This window comes from Homo sapiens, chromosome 9, assembly GCF_000001405.40.
Source record: "Homo sapiens chromosome 9, GRCh38.p14 Primary Assembly".
Taxonomy (NCBI): Eukaryota; Metazoa; Chordata; class Mammalia; order Primates; family Hominidae; genus Homo; species Homo sapiens.
The window spans coordinates 87,593,426-87,608,105 of record NC_000009.12 but is presented as its reverse complement, the minus strand read 5'-3'; the positions used below and the strand labels follow the sequence as shown (position 1 = coordinate 87,608,105).

The window sequence follows — 14,680 nt, the reverse complement described above, 5'->3', positions numbered from 1 at the left end:
ACTTCCCCCTTGCTGATCTCCTGATAGAGTTCTCAGGAGATCTGGTTGTCTCAAAGTGTGTAGCACTTCCCCCTTCTCTCTCTCTTCCTCCTGCCGGTCATGTGAGGATGGCTCTTGCTTCCCCTTTACCTTCTGCCATCATTGTAAGTTTCCTGAGGCCTCCCCAGCCATGCTTCCTGTACAGCCTGCAGAACCATGAGTCAATTGAATCTCTTTTCTTCACAAATTACCCAGTCTCAGGTCTGCCTTTATAGCAGTGTGAGAATGGACTAATACAAACAGTGATGAAGACCAGCTCAGGGCTTGCCAGGGGTTAGGCAGTAGAGGGCAGGCATGAAGGGGTAGTATTAATACAAGGGGTACTGGAGTATGTAGGGGTATGGGAACTGTTCTGAGTCCCAATTAGACTGCTGGTTACATGATTTACATGTGTTAACTTTCATAGAATGACACAACCCTCCTCCAACACTATATTTGCTGTATTATAAATAAAATTTTTACATAATCAAATGGTAAAAAAAAATAATTGTATGCCACCCAATTTAGGCACAGAGTAAATGCACCTAATGGGAACTATCTATGAATTGGGGTCAGACAACAGATGTTGAATGCACAATATGTACACGCAGAGAGGCACAAGAGGGGCAGTGACTCATAGGCATCGCTCAAATATTTTAGTATGAAATGAGGATAAGTGGCATTCTTGAGTCACTGGGCACAACCTGGGAATTATCTGAAAAGGCAGAATAGTTGTGATTTGTTATGTTTCTTTTTCCAGGCACTTTGTATGCACTGTCTTAAGGCAGGAAATGTAGGCTTAAAGACAAGAAAGGATTTGCCCTGGATTTTGATCCCAGTTCTGTCTGGTTCCCCAGCCCCCATCTTCACTCTAGGCTGCTGTCTCCCAGGAGCCACATAAAGCCACAGTGAGGATTACACCATGATTTGTCCTTTTTCCTCTGTTGTACCCTAAGCAAGTCCTTAATCTCCTGGCCCCTTAAAGCTCTGTTCTTCCTTTAAAGCCAGAGTTCTCAGTTACGAGGGTGGGAGGGTACAGGGGAAGCAGGAGATTTTGCCCCCAGGGTACATGTGGCAATGTCTGGATATATTTTTAGTTGTCACAACATGGGGGAAGAGTGCTACTGGAATCTAGTAGGTAGAAGCCAGAGATGCTGCTAAACATTCTACAATGTTTAGGACAGCCTGAAGGAAGAGTGATTCAGCCCAAAATGTCACTTGTGCCAAGATTGAGAACTGCTGATTTGGAAGGGGGGAGAAAGGGAGGAAGGAAGGAGAGAGGAAGGGAGGGAAGGAGAAAAAGGAGGGAGGGAGGGAGGGAGGAAGGAAGGAAAGAAGGAAGGAAGGAGAGAGGGAGGGAGGGAGAGAGAGAGGGAGGAAGGAAGGAAGGAAGGAGAGAGGGAGGGACAGGGAGAGAGAGGGAGGAAGGAAGGAAGGAGAGATGGAGGGAGGGAGAAAAGGAGGGAGAGAGAGAGGGAGGGAGGGAGGGAGGAAGGAAGGAAGGAAGGAAGGGGAGACGGAGGGAGGGAGAGAGGGAGAGAGGGAGGGAGGGGGGAAGGAAGGAAGGAAGGAAGGAGAGAGGGAGGGAGGGAGAGACAGAGGGAGGAAGGAAGGGAAAGAGAGAGAGGAAGGAAGGGAGGGAGGGAGCATATTAATGTCATCTACCAACCAGCACAGTGTTAGGTATTTAAAAATTCTTATCTCATTTATCTCCCCATAAACCATCTGAGATATTATTAACCCCATTTTATGGTTAAGAAATTTGTAGCTGAGACCCATAAAGAAATGTGCCCAAATCCCAGTGATGAGACAAGATGCTGTGGGGACCGCAGGCACCTGGGATTGCAAAGTGGAGGTACCTGCAGGGTGGCGCCTGGGAGCTGGCCTGGCAGCTCTGCCAACCTTCTCCTCTGGTCTTGAAAATCTCTTCTTACCCCTAAGGTATCTGCAAAGAAGGAGGCCGTTGGATCGCAAAGAAGGGGACTGTTGGATGGGCAAAAGGGCAAATCTGAATTCAAGAGGCTGAATTCAATGGATGGAGCCTGTCATCACTACGAGCCACTGAGGATTGGTTTGTCCTCAAATCTTCTTTGGTTCCATCCGCCCCTCCTCCCTCAAGGCACTCACATCTCGCCTCCATCCCAAAAGCCCGGAGACAGAGCAGATGTGCGCCCCAAGCTGGCTTCCTGTCCTCTCTCGCCAGCATGTGCTGATGGACTCAGCCACAGGGAGTGGGGCCCCACTCAGCACAGCAGGCAGGAAGCTGGGGACTGGAGGGGTGGGAGAGGGAGATGAGAAACGCCACAGAATAACCTGCCGCAATCAGTTTCCCATAATAACATCCGACGGGCATGGCTTGCCTGAGAAAATCAGCAACTTGCTTTAAAAACAAGTCCTTTTTGAGTGATTCTGGCTCAATTTTACCCATTCATATAATTAGTGTTGATGGAATTAACAGTTAAAAATGGGGTTCGTGCATTTAAGATGGAGGGGGAAGAGATGGGGGAAGAGATAAAGAGAACAGAGGAAGAAAGGCAGAAAAACAAACAGAGAGAGGAAAGGAATAGAGTGAGAGGGGAGAAGGACATATGCTTGAAGCTTAACAGGAAACTCAGAAAACAGATGTGCTCACGGCAAAGATGAACCCCAGAAAGTGGTGAACCGCAAGACTGGGAGACCCTCTTGCAAACTGGGTGGAACCACAGTGATGGGAGTTGCTCTTTAGAGTTTGTTCTAGATCCCTGCAGCTGGGTTTCAGGTCAGGCAGCACGGCATTGTTCTCACACACCTCATACAGCAGAACCAATTCCTGATCCCTCTCTCGGGCTCGCTGTGGCGTGGTCCAGCTGGAACGAAGATGCCAGCTGACGCCCACCACACCCTCTCCCCAGCCTGGCCCAGGCGGCACTCACAGTTCCAAGATCAGGATGACGTCCGTCTTGTTCTCATAGACCTCGTGCAGGGTGATGACATTGGGGTGCTGGATCTCCTTCAGGATGCTGACCTCCCGCTCGATGTCCTCGCGGCTCACACCCCGCCGGCTGGACTTAGTCCTCCTTTTCTTGATGAATTTGGCGGCATACTGGAGGCCGGTGCTTTTCTCACGGCATTTCTTCACAACCGCAAACTGTCCACTGAAAAGAGAAGATGGAGGATTCTTTATCGTTCATAAAAAAAACAGGATTTGAGTGAGGATGTGGCATGGTGCAGAGGGGGACAAGAGAACTGTGAATAGGAAAGTTCCAATTGTGGAAAGTAACAAATTAGGTAGGGATGTTTCTTATCATCATTCATTTACACTAAGCCTGTTTCTTTATAAATAATGCTGCAAGGAATATAAACTTTTAAAGTATATTTTATTGAAAGAGTGATCATGTCTCCATTTCTGTCCTCTCCTCCTTCCCTCCCACTTCAGGTCCTGGGACAGCAGCAAGGAGCTCTGTGATCTGACCTCACTTCCAGCAAACTCTTTTCCTGCACGTCTAGTCTCTGAGCCTGAAAAACGAGGGATTGAGACCAGGGAATCGGTAAAAAAAAATATATATGAAGTCCTGCCTTCAACAACATATTTCTAGCACCAATATTAACCAATTTAAATACACAGAACAGAAAAAGGTCTATTATTTTGTTTATAATTAAGCGACTGATAAGTCATATGTACCAAATATTTGTTGGTCACTTCTCCAGCATTATCTCCCCTCTCCTCCCGTCTCAAGGTATTTCTACCCAGGGATCTTTGTGGTTTTGGGGAAGCCGATTCCACCCCCAACTGTAAATACGGATCATGTGACCTAGGCTGAGCCAATCAGTCCACTCCATTCTCCTGACCACAATGCCAAGTAAGACCCTTCAGAGGATGCAGAGACACAGGCTTTCTGAGACTCTTTTCTCTTTTGAGTGTGACAGAACCCCCCCCTCAAAGCCGCTGCCAACTGTCTTGGGACCATGAGGAGAGCCACTCTTAGTTTGAAGACAACCACTGCAGAAGCAGAGCCAGTAAAAGGAAAGAAACCAGGTCTGCAGTGACACCATGGAGTCACTGGATCAGCCCCGGCCTGAAACCATCTGCCTGTGATGTTTCAGCGACATAAGCCAATAAATTCCTTTTATGGCTCAAGTCAGTTTGATGGGTTTTCTACTTCTTGCAGAGGAAAGCACCTTAAACATCACAGCAAATAACCAGATTCCCTTTCCCATATATTAAAGACTGTAATAATAGAACTTGACTCAAAATAATAAGGGGTAGGCAGTAAGTGCGTGAGACGGTGAGAGGTACACAGGCCCCACTGATAGTCAGCGGAACACAACGGAAAGACCCTCCCGGCCCCATGCTGGTGCCCTTCGTTCTTCCCTAGTGCCCAAGGAAGGGTCGATTCACCCATCACAGGATCTGTATGTTTCTTGGTACCTGCTGGATAACTGCTATGTAAAGAATTATCACAGGTATTTTTAGCTGGCTTTATCCTCACACGAAGACAAAAGCCAGAGAGAAAAGCAAATTAAGGATAATATTTTGATGTTAAAGAATGGATACTTTAAAACGTTACTCATTTACTTTAGCAGTAGGAGGCCAGTGAAGAAGGAACACAGAGAGAAGGATTATCTTTATAGCCGTGTCAAATTTTTTGCATGACAGGTTGTTAATACCCGCTTTGTCCCTGCAGCAGGATAGCTGAGAAGCTGAAGAATAAATCACACTGGAATGCCAGCACCGACTGCCTGTAAACTCGCTACCTTAAACAATTACGGGGTCTATGTAATGACTTCATTACAACCAAAATCCAATTTCTCTGAGGAGTAAAAACCTTCCCTCTATTGTGGGGCGGAGGGTGGCAGAGATGGGGCATACGGAGAGAAGAGGGAAAAGAGCTTGAATTCAAAACACAGTCAGCTGCTTCCTTTAGAGTCCAGGCCCCTCCTTACAAAGATGTTATTGTGTCCCCACCAGGCAGATTCAAAAGGACCCAGGATAGGGAGGCCCAGCCCAGCCCAGCCAACCAACAACCAAGCTGACAGTTCCAGAGGCTGGGCCCATTCATACCTCACACATGGCCAAAGCAACTTGTCTCAGAGACTTCCAACTCAAGGCACACTCAGTAGTTTCAATCATGGTGCTTTAAAATTCAAAACTAAAAAGCTGAGAGAGAGAGAGAGAGAGAGAGAGAAACAGAGAGACAGAGAAAGAAAAACCGCTTTGGGAGGCCGAGGTGGGTGGATCATGAGGTCAGGAGTTCGAGACCAGCCTGGCCAACATGGTGAAACCCCGTCTCTACTAAAAATACAAAAATTAGCCAGGTGTGGTGGCGCGTGCCTGTAATCTCAGCTACTCAGGAGGCTGAGGCAGGAGAATTGCTTGAACCTGGGAGGTGGAGCTTGCAGTGAGCCGAGATTGTGCCACTGCACTCCAGCCTGGGTGACAGAGCAAAACTCCGTCTCAGGGGGAAAAAGAAAAAAAAAAGAAAAAAGAAAATCCTTCTGGCAGGAGAGTCACAGAGAATTTCAATGCAAGCCTAGATACAAAAACTGTTCCACGTGCGTTTTCACCTCCAAATGTTCTATATTGGAAGTTTCTCCATTTTATTTATGGGAAGATGGTAAGTAAAGGCAGGTTAGCCCTGATGGCAGGATGAAGGCAGGTGCTGAATGTCATGTGTGCTCATGCCCGAGGGAACTGTGGTGCCTTCGTTTACAGCAAAACCTGGGGAATGGACTCTGTCACCTGACAATGGATCCCTCACTCACACTGCAGGGTCCCCATACGAAAAGTGCTGGCTGGTGAGGAGGGGATAAGAGCTGGTGGGTAGGAAGGCTCTGTGTGGATGCTGGGGTACTGGCTAACCCTGACTGCAGAGAGTAAAATGAGGGTCTAGAATGAGCTTGGGAAACTTGTTCTAGACCTACTGCAATGTCACCTCTTTTAAGATACCGTTCCCTATTCTTCCCTGACACCCCTAACAATCTATTCCCTTTCCTCCAATCTGCCATATCCCTGAGTCGAAAGAGCACCCCATACCCCTCAGGGGCACCTGCTGTTTTCTGCCCATTCTTGCCTTTCCCACCCTCCCAGACTGCCAATGCCTGGGGGACAAAGGGCTGCCAGGCTCATCTTCACATCTCCTGAGGCCCTGGGTGCAGACCTACTTCATGTAGTCCATGCACAATGCACATATGCTGCAGCTGACGCCTGAATCTATAACCCTGAGAACCCGAGGAGTTAGACAAAGTGTTCTGCATTATAGTTCAACAGAATTGTGTAACGGCTAGAAGCCAGCTGTGTAACCCAAGGTTTATTTAGGACTTAGCCACTCTAGGCCTCAGTTTTCTTATCTGTAGAGTGGGCATAATAAGTGCCTGTCTTGGAGGGAGTAGGATGAAATGAGCGCATGAAGTGTTTAGGACAGCACCTGACCATAGGGAGTCTTCAGTAACTGTTAGCTATTATTAATCTGCGACAACTGGAGTTATTTTCATCAGCACACTGTTGCCCCAGTCTCACAGTGATGCAGTATTACCCCCCAAGTACCTACCTCTCATGACTGCCAGAGAGAAAAGAGCCCTCATAGGACAAAAAAAAAAAAGCCCATGACAGGGCTGTCCTGTGCTAACGATGTATACAACTATTGCTAAATCCTCACTCCCTTCCTCCTTTTGCTGCCTGTCCCCACCCAGAGGGTGTGTTGCCACTTATAACTGCTCAGGCAGGCTGGCCCTGGCCTTGGGAGCTCAGAGTCACAAGCTGAGCCAAAGTGCCAGCAGCCAGGCCCACCTGGGGGCCTCTGGGAGCCTTTGTGTGTGATGGGTAAGCCTGTAGGGCATTTCCATAGCACAGTCTCCTCAGGCAGCCAGCAAACTGTGAGGACAGACTCCTGGAGGAGCAATTCTTCCCTAATCAGAGTAGTTTGCTTTGTGAGGTCTAATTTGAATTGGACTGTTGGTGAATTGCTGCTCCGATCCCTTCCTTCCTGGGCAGCTGGGCCTGGACCCGCTTTCCACCCTGGATCGGGACTCCTTTGGGGGGACAGTTCCTCTTCACCCAACCTCTGCCTCCCCAAAGACAACAACAACTTAAAAAAACAGCTTGTGTGTTTACTTTTCTGGTGAGGATTCCTAAATCGTGTGCCCTCAGAGGAATACCATGATCCAGCTTCAAGGGCGAGCTCAGACAGACCAGGGAGCAAAGCGAATGCACATAAAGCAGCAAGGCCACTGCCACAACCACGCTGGGGGCGCTTGTCCCTTCTGCCCCCTCCTCACACCCATGCACTGAGGCCAGTCAGTAATTAACAACGATACGGATGGCTGCATTATTAATTAATTACCATTAATACAGCTGGGGCTGTTCAATGGATGGGGGAAGGTAGCTTTTTACTGGAAAAGAGAAATTCTTTGCATGCTATGACATTTAATTTTGATAAAGCAGTACAAGTGATCCTTATTATTAATGGATTTTGTACTGGTGAATTCACCTACTTAGTAATTTTTTTTTTCTTTTCTTGAGACAGGGTCTCGCTCTGCCGCGCAGGCTGTAGTGTGGTGATGCAATCACAGCTCACTGCAGCCTTGACCTCCCGAGCTCGAGCAATCCTCCCACCTTGGCCTCCAGAGCAGCTGGAACTACAGGAGCATATCACCACACCCAGCTAATTTTCTTTTTTTTCTTTTTTGCAGAGATAGAGTCTCGCTCTGTTGCCTAGGCTGGTCTAGAACTCCTGGGCTCAAAGCAGTCCTCCCACCTCGGCCACCCAAAGTCGGGGAATTACAGGCATGAGTCACTGCAGGAGGCATAAAATTTATTTGTAACCTCCAAGTCAATATTTCTGGCACTTTCACAGTCACTTGTGGACATGCACGGATCGTGGAAAATTGGAGAGGATCGTGGAAAATTGGAGAGGCTGCTGCACACGTTCCTAGCTGAAGTCAAACAGCTGCCTTCTTGCTTCGGCTCTCACACCATAATCGAGTGTGCTCTCCGCAGCCCATTTAGTGTCATGTTTTTTATTGGTAATTTCACTGTATACAATGACCCCCAAGTATAGTACTGTGGGGCTGTCTAGTGTTTCTAAGCACAACAAAGCTGTGATATGACTCAGGGAGAGACTATGTGTGTTAGATAAGCTTCATTCAGGCATGCGTAATGTGCTGTTTGCCTTGAGTTCAATGTTAATGAATCACATATACATATACGATGTCTTTAAACAGAAACACACATAAAACAAGGTTGTGCAAAAATGACAAAAATGATTTGACCAGAGACTCACAAGAAGGTAACCCTGGATTTCTCCTAAGAGCAATGGTTTAGTGTTTGCAGTGAATTTCTAGAGAATAACTCTCACACATAATGAAAGTCAACTGTACACCAACTTTTTTTCCCCAAAAAATGCACTAAAATTTTCCATCGTTTAATAACTGACAGAACAGTCTGTTGCATTAGATATAGACATCACATTAATTTTAATATTAAAAACTTTCCACTAAATGTAATAAACATTTATTAACTACTCATGGTCAGATACATACAAAGATAATGAGACACATTCTTCCTTTAATGAGTTTTATATTAAAAAACTTGATTCAAATGTAATCACCAATTTTATTAAAAAGAGGAAACGCACGGCGAAAAGGAGCAAGCTTCATAAAGAACAGGCTGACATCTAATTTCTCTGTCTGACTCACTGATATATTTAATCTGACTACTACCTCTGCAGTCACTGAAGAAACTGTAACCAGGATCATATGCAAGGCTCTTTACACATATTTCTTTATTAATAATCACAACTCCATGAGATACACATCGTCATCTCTTCTGACCAATAAGAAAATCAGGTCTCAGGGAGATTTTTAAAGATTGTCCCAAATCACTGAGCGAGTAAGTTGCATAACTAAGAAATGAACTCAAACTCAAGTGTATTCGCCTCCAAAGCTCCAGGTACTGAGCCCCATTGCTGTGTGGACCTCGTACATATTATGTTTGTCATACAAGACATCTCACTGTGAAGTTACAGACAGACTCCAGCATCACTCTAGGAAAGTGTTTTGTGAGGGGAAAGCAAAGGGCAGGGGTTTGTGGTTAAATCTGTTTGGGTCATATTGCCTTCTCCTCCCAGTTGAAGACTCACAAGGTGTTCTAATTAATTAAAACCTTTGCTTTAAGATGCTCTGAGATGCCATGCAATAAAAGTACAACATGTTTGTGAATTCAGGAAGCATTCTAGTAACAATCAGAAAGAAACCCAAGTTGATTCTCAAGGTCAAGGCACAAGGATGGCAGCATTCCTGTTTCTGTAGGTCTTCTATAGTTCCTGGTGCCTTAAAAAGAAACCTGTTTAACTTTTGTTTAATCCAGTCAGTTCTTACTGTCAACTTTATTTATTTGTGGGAGGCTCTGTTCACATGGGAGAATGAAGGTGTGGATATACAATGTCAGAGAAGACGCAACATTCAGAATGGAAGGAAAAAGCATAATCTGACTGGACATGACAATTAATGTCTCTGCTGCATAAGCTGGTGCCAAGCCCAGGGTCTAACCTTTTCATTGCTGGCCCTGATCCAGACATGCCATTAGAACAAGTTCTCACCTGGAGCAGGTGAGTGCAGATCAAAAAAAAAAGTGACGAAAACAGCATCTCCTTTTTCATGTTTTTACTTTAAATATGCATCTACCGAATACATATGCAGTTAAAAATTATTTATGGTAACTAGTATTACGATGAATTCTCTATATTAATGCTGGAAACAGATCTGGTTTAAATCTAACAGCTGACACGTTCCATCTTTACGCTCCTCCCAAGTCTTTCCAATATGGTTTCTCATTAACACAAAGTAATTTCTACTTTTGAACTCGTTATCAAATCCCTGGCTCGGTTTTAGTGGTGGTTTATGGGTGATCTATTTTTGCAGAAGACTTTTGCTGCCAGAGTAGCAGGCAGCTTGAATTCTGCCAGAATATTAGAATTACAGGTTGTAGGTAAGGGGTGAGGAACAGAAACGGTTTCTCAAGGATGAGTTAACATCTGATAATAGTTCACATTTACAGCAGGAGATAAGACCCTGAGGGTTTACAGACTAGAGGAGAGACAAGCATGAAATACTTCACTGTGGGAAGAAGAAAAAAGGGGACGCAGTTGCTGTTGCAGAGAGGGTGCAGTTAGGAAACCCCTGCCCAAGCTGGCCTCCTAGGCTGTGCCCTGAAGGCTGAGCGTGAGTCAGGAGTGGAAGAAGGTGTGTGTTTAGGGACAGGGTTTCCGAGAGGAGGAACAGTGTGAGCAGAGGCAGGAAGGCATCAAAGAGCCTACTTCGTATTTCTAGAGGAAGAGAGGAGCGGCAGGGAGGCGTCAGGTCAGACACACAAACAGGGCCCTGTGCAGATGGAGCAATGTCAGCCCCAGCTCTGCCAATAACTTGAGAAAGCAGGAGGCCTCTGTGAGCCTCAGTTTCCCCATCTGTGCAAGTATGATGACAACATGAAATGAGGACATGCATGTGAGCGCACACTGTTTTCTCTAAACACATCAAGCACATGGAAAGGATGAAAATTACCAAGCTGTCTAAGCTTCGTGAACTTCTCAGAGAAGCCAAGAAGACAGGATTTCAGGAGCTGAAAAGCAGCACCAAACTTCTCCTTGACATTTTTCTATGCAACAACTTTGAAATCTAAATGTTAAGTCTCTACATTTTCCCCCCCATTGGAACTCAACAAAGCTATTTTCATTTCGGATGGAGACATATTTGGTTTGCCTCCTTTGGTCCTCAAAGGCCCCTACAGCTTTGCTTAGATGCTGAAGCTTTCAGCTGGAAGTAGGTGATGGGAAGCAGACAGCACCTTCCAAAGATGGATTCAGCTGTCTTTCTATCCCACATGCTCTCTTGAGTGTGACCCTCCAGTCTCTAACCCTTGAATCTGAGCAGGCACCAGTAACTTGGCTAACCCACAGAATGTGGCAGAAGTGATCCTGGAACTTCCGCTTGAGTTCTCAGAAGCTCCCTCTTGGAAGCCAACCAACAAGCTGGGAGAAGCCCAGGCTGTGTAGAGAGGTCGCATGCAGTTGCTCCTGCCCGCAGCTCCAGCTGAGCTGACAGCAGCTGTGAGAGGCCAGGCACGTGCGTGAGCCGTCATGGACATCTGGGCCATCAAGTCTTCAGATGGCTATAGGTCCAGCCAACCTCTCAATGCGACCACCTGAGAGACCCAGGCAAAACCCCCTAAGCTGGGTCCAGGCAGCCCACAGAAGCACAAGAGTTAAGAGATCATGATAAACTGTTATTTTCAACTACCACGTTTTGGAGTGGTTTGTTATGCAGCAATGGGTCAGCAGAACAGCACTGAAGAATCTGGGATGGTGGGTTTAACAGATCGCCCCAGAAGCTGTGCAGAGGAAGGATTCGACACAGAAAGTGACTAGGTCACAAGCAGCCTCACAGGAGAGCATGGGAAAGGAGTGAGGGTGTCCAAACCACCCTGAATGCAGGCCCTGTCCCAGGCTCAGAAAAACGGGCCCTCTCATCCCATCAGCACGCATGGACTCACTTTTCAAGTTCTCTGCTTCTCATCATGGCAACAATTTCCCACCTTTCAAGGAAAGTGCTGCATCATTTAGGAGGGACCTCAACACAAACAACAAAACTCAAAGACCCTCACTGAGATGCCTTCAGTGTTCTGGCTGGGCAGGGCTTATTGCTGGCCTCCAACTTTACCTTCCCCAGTCTCTGCGGTGAAGCAGATCTCCACCCTGGGAAACACACAAATCCCAAATGCTATACATGATCCAGTAAATGCAGCTACCTAATCTTCCTCCTGCCTGGTGTGAATGCCCAGTGCGTATCTATACTGACTTCACCTTTAGCAGAATGCGTGTGAAGAGGAAACACTCTCCCTGCACCTTCAGCGGGAACCCCTTCTTTGATCCTAACCCCAACATGTTCACGGATTTCAGCACAGGATGAAGGCAAACCCTGTATGGGAACTCAGTACTTCAGCACCAAGTGGTACACAATTCCCTTGGAATGTAGCCCACACCTGGAGTTATTCTCTTTCTGCCCTTCAAGAAGCTACGAGGCAGAGGAAAGCAATACTTTTTACCAAAAAAAAAAGCAAAGCGGTGATTTTTAAAAAATTATTATTATCATGAAAAAAAAGTACAACCCTCCAAAAACTATTTTAAACTAATACAAGGGCTCGGTTAAATGGGCTGTGATTTGTAGAGCAAGCAGCTCAGGTTGCCACGGCACCAACAGGGAGAAGCAGAGTTTACTGAGGGGATAAACAGCAGTCCGTCACCCTGGGAACCAGAACAACACACAGAGGTAGGAAAGAGATGCAGAAAGAGAAGGGCGAACAGCGCAATGGGCCAAGGAGAGCAGAGGAGAGGTCGGTCCCTTGGCGAAAGCATCCTCCCAAGGACAAGGTCTCCTGGAAGACTGCAAAGGAGAAGAAGGTGGCATAACCGAGGACCCAAGGCCAGCGTGGGTCGGGCTCCACGCACTGGTTTGGTATTGCACGTGGGGACAAGGAAACCAAATATGCTGAGAGTCAGGTAGCTCAAGATACCTCTTTATCATTAAGAAATTTACAAACCAGAGCGGCTGAGGATTAAACTGAGGGGAGATTAGAAAGATAGCAGTGGGTGCCTTCATTCACTCCCCCTTGTTCCTATGATACCTCTTTGCAGGAGGAAGGTCCAAGATCCATCTGGAAGAATATTTCCCAAAGTGGGTCTCTGGAGCTCATATAAAGAGATGCTGCTTGGAGAAAGGGAGTCATGGCCAAGCAAGTTTAAGCAAAAGTAGGTAAACAGAGTCACAACAGGGTGCTCTATGCAGGACTCAGCTAACTGGCCCTTTCCACGAGGGGCAATAGCATTCGGCATTTCACATGGTTTGGGGTTGCTGTTAACCACAAAACCTTTTTCCTTCCTTACATATTTTTGGTTTTGAAGCATTCTGAAGTCCAGTTTTCTTGGGAAGGTGTGCTTTGGTCCTCTCTCCCAGTTAAACGGGCAGCTTCCTGGAAGTGGACTCTATATTCACTGTTTCCTTTGCATTTTCAACACTTTCAGATTATTCCCTAAGGCAGGATGCCAATCACAGTGCCTGCTCCTTCATGGTCTGGAAGAACCAAGCACAGAGGTGGAGGTGGGAGGTGCCCAGGTGGATTCAGACCTTCCTGGGATTGACCCATTAGAAGGGTGTGGACCAACTGACTCAGGCCTGGGAGAGGAGGCCACCCACCTCCTCAGGCCTGGTGCTCCTTCTGCCTCCTTCTGGCTACTGGTGAAAGGGCTGCCTAGAGGCCACAGGCAAATCTATGATGGATTCAGCCCTCTTCACCACTTGAGACTGGCAAAGGATTTGGAGTTTTTCTTTTATTTCAGGCAGGCAGTGGGGCTGGGTATTTTGGGTGGCAACTGAGAGCAGATGGACTGGGTATAGAGAGCACAGTAAATACTGGCCATGACAGCTACCTCCAAGGAAGAGCATGGTGGTGACAGGAAGGAGCCTGGAGCCTGGCAGACTCCTTAGAGCAGAGTCCTGAGCCTAGAGATGCACCACTGCCTTCCTCTAGGCCCAGTTCCTTCACTTTCTGGGACTCACTGCCGTAGTGAATCCTACATGCTTCAGATATGGTCTATGACTTCAGGAATTTACTAACAAGACACGTCAGTGCAACAGACTTGCAAGTGCCCAGTGGGCGGTGTGCAGAGTCAGCAGGGACCCTGGCTCCAGCTAAAGGATACGTGAACTGCACCCACTTTACTCAGCACCATCCCTAGGACCTAACACAGAACACCTGCCTGCTGCTTGCTGTTTGTTTGTGTCTGTAAAGCCACAAGGGAAAGGAAGGAAGAAAGTAAGTGTTGGGAAAGCATAACCTGATACAATCTAAACAGGGCCTTTGGTGGATCAGACAAAACAAACAAAACAAACAACAACACTCCATATGTTTTCTCCAAATATAGTAAACCCTACATCAGAATCATAGCTGAACTCTGAGTCCAGTTTTATGGAGACTAAAATGCCCTTATACAGAAAGGGTAGCTACAGATTACTGTTATGCCAGGATTGGCTGCTCCATTTCAATGAATGCTGACCACACTGGATGACTGGAGGTCAGAGCTTCCTGCCCCAAGACCCCAGTTGAGCCCCCTGGCTCTCGAGTGGTTCTGGTCAGCTCCATGTTTGATCACTTTGACTTCACCATTCTATTGCCCTGAGCCAATCCCATCATTTGATCATCCTGACTTTGTCATGTAATCCCCTTTCAGCCAGTGGGTCAAAGTTAACTGGACCATAAGGAATGATTTGTTCTCAACTTGGCAAGCTGCTCTCGGCTGAAAAAAAATTGACAAAGAAGGCAGGAGGTTCATATAACTTCATGGGGAAAGAGAAGACAAACAAAAAGCTAAGCTGAAGTTCCTTATTCCATGGCCAAAAGAAGAAGAAGAAAGTCAGATATGTTCAGGGTGCTAAGATTCAATACGGGGAAGAACCAGCTAAAGGGAAAGAGAAAGGACAGAGCTTGGTAGTCTGACGGCATAGGTCATTACCATGCAAATACTCTACTAAATTGCCCAGATTAAAATACGAATTGTGAGATACTCTCCTCCAATATTCACCCTGCTCAGTTCTGGAGCATGAGAGGAAGAACAAAGAAAGATGAACAAAGAAA

General features: G+C 46.6%; 1 protein-coding gene across 8 annotated transcripts in view, besides 3 other annotated features; it reads right to left on the bottom strand.

The window, feature by feature from the left end:
* The window catches only part of DAPK1 (death associated protein kinase 1), a 211,407-nt gene that overhangs the window by 100,529 nt on the left and 96,198 nt on the right, over window positions 1-14,680 (bottom strand). For all 8 annotated transcript variants that reach the window (NM_001288731.2, XM_047422887.1, XM_047422886.1 and 5 more), the window contains exon 3: window positions 2,931-3,152. In NM_001288731.2, coding sequence (NP_001275660.1) covers window positions 2,931-3,152 — 222 coding nt within the window. The remainder of the gene's footprint in view (window positions 1-2,930; window positions 3,153-14,680) is intronic.
* Window positions 2,579-2,638: an enhancer, noted in NCBI's record as "active region_28522". NCBI's record gives its function as "activates an Ori minimal core promoter by ATAC-STARR-seq in GM12878 lymphoblastoid cells {active_cell/tissue: GM12878}" and the evidence as "EXISTENCE:reporter gene assay evidence [ECO:0000049][PMID:35858748]".
* Window positions 2,689-2,738: an enhancer, noted in NCBI's record as "active region_28521". NCBI's record gives its function as "activates an Ori minimal core promoter by ATAC-STARR-seq in GM12878 lymphoblastoid cells {active_cell/tissue: GM12878}" and the evidence as "EXISTENCE:reporter gene assay evidence [ECO:0000049][PMID:35858748]".
* Window positions 7,161-7,754: an enhancer, noted in NCBI's record as "H3K27ac-H3K4me1 hESC enhancer chr9:90215267-90215860 (GRCh37/hg19 assembly coordinates)". NCBI's record gives its function as "activates a minimal SCP1, AML or CMV promoter by ChIP-STARR-seq in primed H9 embryonic stem cells {active_cell/tissue: H9 hESC(primed)}" and the evidence as "EXISTENCE:reporter gene assay evidence [ECO:0000049][PMID:30033119]".